The sequence below is a fragment of the Homo sapiens genome, chromosome 5, assembly GCF_000001405.40.
Source record: "Homo sapiens chromosome 5, GRCh38.p14 Primary Assembly".
NCBI lineage: Eukaryota > Metazoa > Chordata > Mammalia > Primates > Hominidae > Homo > Homo sapiens.
Window position 1 is genome coordinate 175,903,157 of NC_000005.10, and position 6,802 is coordinate 175,909,958.

The 6,802-nt window shown below is 49.9% G+C and overlaps 1 annotated feature.

Annotated features, from left to right (window-relative positions):
• Positions 4,927-5,769: an enhancer, noted in NCBI's record as "H3K27ac-H3K4me1 hESC enhancer chr5:175335086-175335928 (GRCh37/hg19 assembly coordinates)". NCBI's record gives its function as "activates a minimal SCP1, AML or CMV promoter by ChIP-STARR-seq in naive H9 embryonic stem cells {active_cell/tissue: H9 hESC(naive)}" and the evidence as "EXISTENCE:reporter gene assay evidence [ECO:0000049][PMID:30033119]".

Below are 6,802 nucleotides of genomic sequence, written 5' to 3' on the forward strand. Positions count from 1 at the left end.
TTGCCTGGACACTGTGCAGAGGCCTCTCCCCAGCCAGACAACACGTCCCCGGCTCAGGCTCTGCCTCGTCTGTCCTCCTGGTCATTAGGCCAATGACTAGGATGAAGTCACAACAGCAACCAGCTGTGGGCATGTTGAGCCTGGTGAGGAAAGATGGGGCTATACCCCAAAGGAGCTGTAGGACCTACCCAGCACAGGTCTGCAGGAACATGGGATTGGAATCCAAGGGTGTCTGGTCAAGGAGGTCAGAAGGTAAGGTTAGATAAGGGAGTATTTATCAACTTGGGAGAACTCTCCCAGGATACAGGATTTAATACTCTCACCAGTGTCCCAGGAGATGGTGCAAACTCACTACAGATGGTTCCTAGAAACATGGGAAAAAGCAGCGGCCAACATGAAGTGAGAACTGCTGGAGCAGACGGTAGGCCCTTGGCACTTAGGCTCAGAGAGGTGGGCCCACCAGAGGAGGTGTGCCATGTAAGGCTGGAACTCCCAGAGGCCTGTGCTGCACACAGGACCCAGATGATAACCCACTTACCAAGGATGTTAGGAATGGATCACTTAGAAATTCAGTGATGGCTCCTCTCTGGGGACCAGGGCTGGCAGGAGGAATTGCCACTGTACAACCAGGCTTACTCACAGAAATGATCCCAAGGACCTTGGAAAACTAGAAGCCATCTACCTTAGTGCTGCTGTAACAAAATGCCATAGGCTGGGTGGCTTATAAAGAAATTTATTTCTAACAGTTCTGGAGGCCGGGAAGTCCAAGATCAAAGTAGATTTGGTGTCTGCTGAAGGCCCACTTTCTGGCTCATAGATGGTGCCTTCTCACTGTGTCCTCAGAGTGTAGAACAGGCAGGGCAGCATGCTGGGACATCTTTTCATTAGGGCACTAGTCCCATTCATGAGGCTCCATCTTCATGACCCAATCGCCTTCCAAAGGCCCCACCTCCTGATACCCTCACATTGGTGGTCAGGTTTCAACGTATGAATTTTGGGGAGACACCAACATTCAGACCATGGCACCATCAGAAGGCAGGAAGATGTCATTGTGGTGAGTGGTAGGGTAGAGAGGAGGCCAGGGGAGCCTGACCTACAGAGACCTGTGGAGTGAATAGAACTTGGCACCCCTAGGGGCCACATAGATATGGAGCCAATAAGGATACTACTGTATCTGCATAATCAAAAACAGCACGGATGGATGGCTGGGAAGCTAAGGACAGTCACCTTAATTTAAAAAAAAGTAAAAATCCCTTCCGCAATGTCCATCCCTGAGCAAGTTCTTGGACGTGGAAACTTGATAGACAGAAAGCCTATGTCCCCAGGAGGAAGAACCCCATGACTGCACACAGCGAGGATTCCTCCATTTCTTCCCAGCGTTACTCAGATAACTGTGTACTGGGGAAGGGGAAACCCAGAGCATTAGCATGGCCCCTCCTAAGGGAGCCAGGTGATAAATGGAGTTCTAGCTTAGGTCCAGCTCACCCACAGTCCATGGTCCCACCGTCAGTGGTCTCCAAATGTATAACTGTAATTGACATACTTAGTAATTGACACAAGCCCTTTATCCTGTGAGGTAAGAGCTATCATAGTGGGGAAATCCAAGTGGAAGCCTCTGAAACTCCCCCTTCTGGCCAAGATGGCAAATTAAAAAGCAGTATTACATCCCAGGGGATGGCAAAGATGAGTGCTGTTCTTAAAGATCTAAAAGATGCATGGATGATCATTCCTATTATAGTCCCATTTAATTCACCAGTCTGTTCCCCATGGAAACTACCAGAAGTGCAACAACTAGTAGCCCCATTGCAGCTTCCTTGCTAGGTGTGGTATTGCTGCTAGAGAAGATTAATATGAATTCAGGGAGCCAGGCAAAGTGGCTCATGCCTACAGTCCCAGCATTTGGGAGGCTGAGGTTGGTGGATCATTTGAAGTCAGGAGTTTGAGACCAGCTTGGTCAACATGATAAACCCCATCTCTGTTAAAAATACAAAAACTGGCCAGGCATGGTGGCTCATGCCTGTAATCCCAGCTACTCAGGAGGCTGAGGCAGGAGAATCACTTCACCTGGGAGGCAAAGGTTGTGTGAGCCAAGATCGCGCCCCACTGCACTCCAGCCTGGGTGACAGAGTGAGATTCCGTCTCAAAAAAAAATTGAATTCAGGTACATGTTATGAAGCCATTAATCTGGTGAATATGTTCATTTCCATCTCAATCAAGAAAGAGAATCAGAAAGAGTTCACATTCACATGGAAGGGACAACAGTATACATTCACAACTTTCATCAGAGCTCTGTCATGACCATCCAAAAAGATCTGGATCATCGGACATCCTGCAGAACATCACACTGATCCAGTACACTGATGTCATCATGCTGATCAGGCAGATAGACAAGCAGTACCTAGCATGCTGGAAGCCAAAGGGTGAGAGAGAAAACTACTGAAGATCGAGAGGCCACCACATTAGTAAAATTTCTAGGAATTCAATGGTCTGGTGAATACTGGGACATACCTACAAAGCAAAGATAAATTATTTAATCTTTTACCTCCCACCATGAAGAAGAAATCCTAACACCTGATAGGTAGATCTGGAGGCAACATATTTCATAGCTAGGAATACTGCTCCAACCCCATATGCCAATGCCATGAAAGGCTGCCAAGGCCCAGAGCAAGAAAGGATTCTGCAAAAGTGTCAGGCTGCTAGAGCCATCAACCCCATCCCTTGACTTGAGCCATACAGTACTCAGCAGACCCTATGGTGTCAGCCATGTGAGTGATAGGAAGAGATGCCAGTGAAGAATGCAAGCTCCAATGGGAGAATCCCTTAGGATCTGGAGACTCCCTAAAATTTGGGAGTGAATTACAATTAGCAGCAAAGGATTATTCACCTTCTGAAAACAGGTCCTGGTGTGCCTGTGCTACTAGCCCTCATGTGACACACAACACCCAGACATGAGACACCGAGTGATCAGGCAGCTGGAACTGCCTGTCATGAGCTGGGTCTGCCAGACCCAATCAATCAATCTAACATGGTGGGGACATCCCGGGTCAAACATGAGCACGCCTTGAGGACACCAGCAAGCTACACGGCAGGTAGCCCAGACCCCACATCATCCCCACTGAGGCACCAGCAGCCTCAGCTCATTCGAATGGCCACATGGGGGACTCCCATGTCACCAGCTGAAGAGGATAAAACTGAGATTGGTTTGGCTTGGCATGTGGCAGATGACTACACTGGACCCTCTCCTGAAAGATCAGGAATAGAGACCAGTTCCACATAGAGATTTGCCTTTCCTGCCCATGGATTCTCTGCTCAAGGGTCTATGAAGTGTTTGATTCACTGGCACACGATGCCACATAACATCACTTCTGACTCAACAGCCCATCTTATAGCAATAACCCTGCAGGGGCGGGAGTGGGCTGGCCCATGACCAGGGATCCACTGTTAATACTGCACACCACATGACCCCAAAGCTGCTGGCCCGATGGAGACAGAGCTGCAATGCCAGTTCAGAAACAAGCCTTCACAAGGTTTCAGTACCATCCTCCAAGATGCAGTATCACTTCAAATCAAATACTATATATGGCACTGCATCCCCACTGGGCAGAATACACGGGTCTAGGAACCTAGGGGTAGAAGCTTAAGCGGCCCAGTGGCCCACTTAAAGAATTTGTGCTTTCTGTCCCTCAACTCTGGGTTCCGTAAGTTTAGAGGTCCTTGTTCCCAAAGAGAAAATACTTCTGCAAGGTGGCACAGCCAGAGTCCCTCAAAGTCGAAGCACAGTCGCCTCCTTGGCACTCTGGGTTTCTTGTCCTTGCATCAAGGGGCCAGCGGTAAGAAGAGGAGTCGCATCCTGGCATCCAGAAGCGGTTGCATATGGGGTCTGGGAGGAATATGTTTGACATCCAGGCGATGCCCTTGGGTGCTTCTTGGTACTCCCTTGCCCAATTTTGATGTTAAGTTGACAAGTGTAGCAACCCTGGCCTGAAAATAGCATGGTGACCAGGGTCTCAGTTCCCTCAGGTAATCAGGAGACCAACAGAGATGTCGTCTGAGAGTGAGGTGGTCTATAATGGGTAGTGGAGTGGGCAGGTGAGGATGTCAGTTGCAGCCCTGAGACCCCAAAACTTCAGAGGTAGGGGTTGGAGTTCATCCCAGTAATTTTCCTCTTCAAGTTGCCTCCTAGAAGAGCTTCTCACAGAACTTACATGAAGTGGATCCAAGAGGTGACTGTGAAGGACTCTGTAAGGTGCCACCCAGGTCCCTCTGCAGGAATAAAGGACTTATTACCCCAGCTGCTGGGAGTACTGCCTGCAGAAAGTTGACAGCCCTCATGCTCCATTCCCAGGGAGGCCTACATCCAATGACCCAATGTGGGGTCACTGGCACCAATGTGGGGTGCCAAGTACCCGAACTTTTGCTTTGACTCGGGACAGTCCTGAGGGGTCATCCCATCCTCAGGCCAGCTGAGCCTTCTGCTGAGATAGCATCATAGGTCAGCCTCCCCCTTTGCCCAAGCCTGCTCCTCCCCACTCCCTTCCAATGGTATTGACTTCAGGAGCACTGGCCAATGAGCCCCCACACACTTCATCTCAGAGACCTGCCCAAGCTCATACTCAGACCTGAAGTGGCAGAAACAAACCTCAGACTCACTGTGGCTGTCCAAAGCCCAGAGATTGGAAAGGTTAGCACGTGCAGGACTCAGAAGTGAGAAACAGAGCAGATACCTTGGATGCAATGAAGATTTGAACTCCATACAAGGAATGATAGTCTAATTACCTTAGGCTGCTTGTGATGTTGCTCAGTTTCTGCTCACAGGATGGGGAAGGGGAGATATTCCAGAAGAACAGAGCAGCCCCCTCACCCATCTCAGGCTTGGGGGTCATTCAGATCTGAGAATGTCAGAGCTTTCACTTCCTAGCTGTGGGGACTTGAGCAAACCGCTCCACCTCCCTGAGCCTCAGTTTCCCCCACTCCAAACTGGAGCCAATAAGATGCACCTGTGATTCTTGCGTAGATCACATTTGCAGGGCTCCTCGTGCACAGAAATCTCTCGGTAAATGTGGCCATTATTATTCAAGAGCCGAGGAGCTAATTAGCCTCGCTGCTGATGCAACAGGAATTCACAGCGCGGGGACTGGCCTGCTGAAGGGAGGACGAGGCTGGAACATCTCATTTTGACAAATGGCTTTTGTTTACCCACGACTGGCAAACAAACGCTCCACGACGTGCGGCTAATCACCTAAAAATAACAGCACATATGTTCCCTCTGAGGAGTGTTCCTTGCTAACAAGCACAGTGGCTGTGGGCTGCTGGGGGTGGGGTGGGGACACTCTGCACTCCTCTGAGGCAAATTCAAAAGCCTCTCTCTCTGCCCCCAGCCGTCCTCCTGCACCCCACATCCATCCTGCTGCCCAGCCCTGTCCGCAGCGCCACACACAAACCACCCTCCCTTGTGTCTCCCTGCACCACCCCCCGACCAAGTCCCCGGCTGCTGTGCTGGGGCAGGGCTGGTGCCACAGTCCCCTTTCTGCCCTCCTGGCCTTGCTCCATCCCCTCCACCCTGCCCCGGAGGCACCCTTCTAAAACACACACATCTGACTAGTCACTCCCCTTCTCGGAACTCCTCATGGCTCTCTCTGCCTCCAGGCCATGCTAGTCTCATTTCCCACACTACCTGGGCCTGACCATCAGTGTGCACCAGGGCCTTCCAGCCTCCAGGCCTCTGCAGATGTTGGAGTAGGGCTGCTTCTCTACCTACACACCTCCTCCACCCTCGGGCAGGTGCTCAGCTCTAAATGACATCCAAGCTGATGACGAATGAATGAGTTCTCTCTGAACTCCTGCCCACTGCATGTCTCCTCCTGGTTGTCCAGTGGGCATCTCTGAACCGTGTCCAAAAGCACACGCGAACACACACACACACACGATCCTCCTGCAATCTTATTGGTTGCTCAGGCCAAAAGCCTTGGAGTCCTCCATGTCCCCCACCTGCCATCCCACAACCAACCCATTAGCAAATGGGGTCAGCTGTCTTCAAAACACACGCAGACTCCCCTCAGCACCTGCACACTGCCTCCTGGCGCCTCCATCCCACCTCTCACCTCCAGCGGCTCCCCCCTCTTGCCAGCCACAGTCCGCTCACACCCCAGGACCCTTTAAAACTGGTCACGCCCCGTCTCTCCTGCACCCCAAAGCTTCCAGTGACTTCCATCTCAGAGTAAAGCCAAAGTCTTGTAGAGGCCACAGCTAGGGTGGCCAGATTTCACAAACAAAAAGGCAGGATGCCCGTTAGGTTTGAATTTCAAGGACATGTTAAGTGAAATAAGCCAGACACAGAAAAACAAATACCACGTGATCTCACATGGACATGCGAACTCTGAAAAAGCCAAATTCATTGAAGCAGAAAGTAGAATGGTGGTTACCAGAGGCTGGCGGACAGGGAGTGAGAATTGGGGAGCTGTGGGTCAAAGGACACAAAGTTCCAGTTAGGGAGAATAAGTGAAAGAGCCCCATGGTACGTCGTGGCAGCATAGCTAATGACAGTGTACTGCATTCTTGAAAATCGCTAAGAGTAGATTTTAAGTGTTCTCACCACAGGAAAAAAAAAACAAGGTGGGAAGTAATGCATATGTTAATTAGCTCAATTTAGTCATCCCATAAATGTATACATATTCCAAAACATCATATTGTAGGCCATAAGAATATGCAATTTTTATTGGTCAATTAAAACAATGTTTTAAAAAGAAGAAAGGGATATTAGGAACTAAAAATCTTTTTTTGAATTTCAGAGAAAGGCAAACTT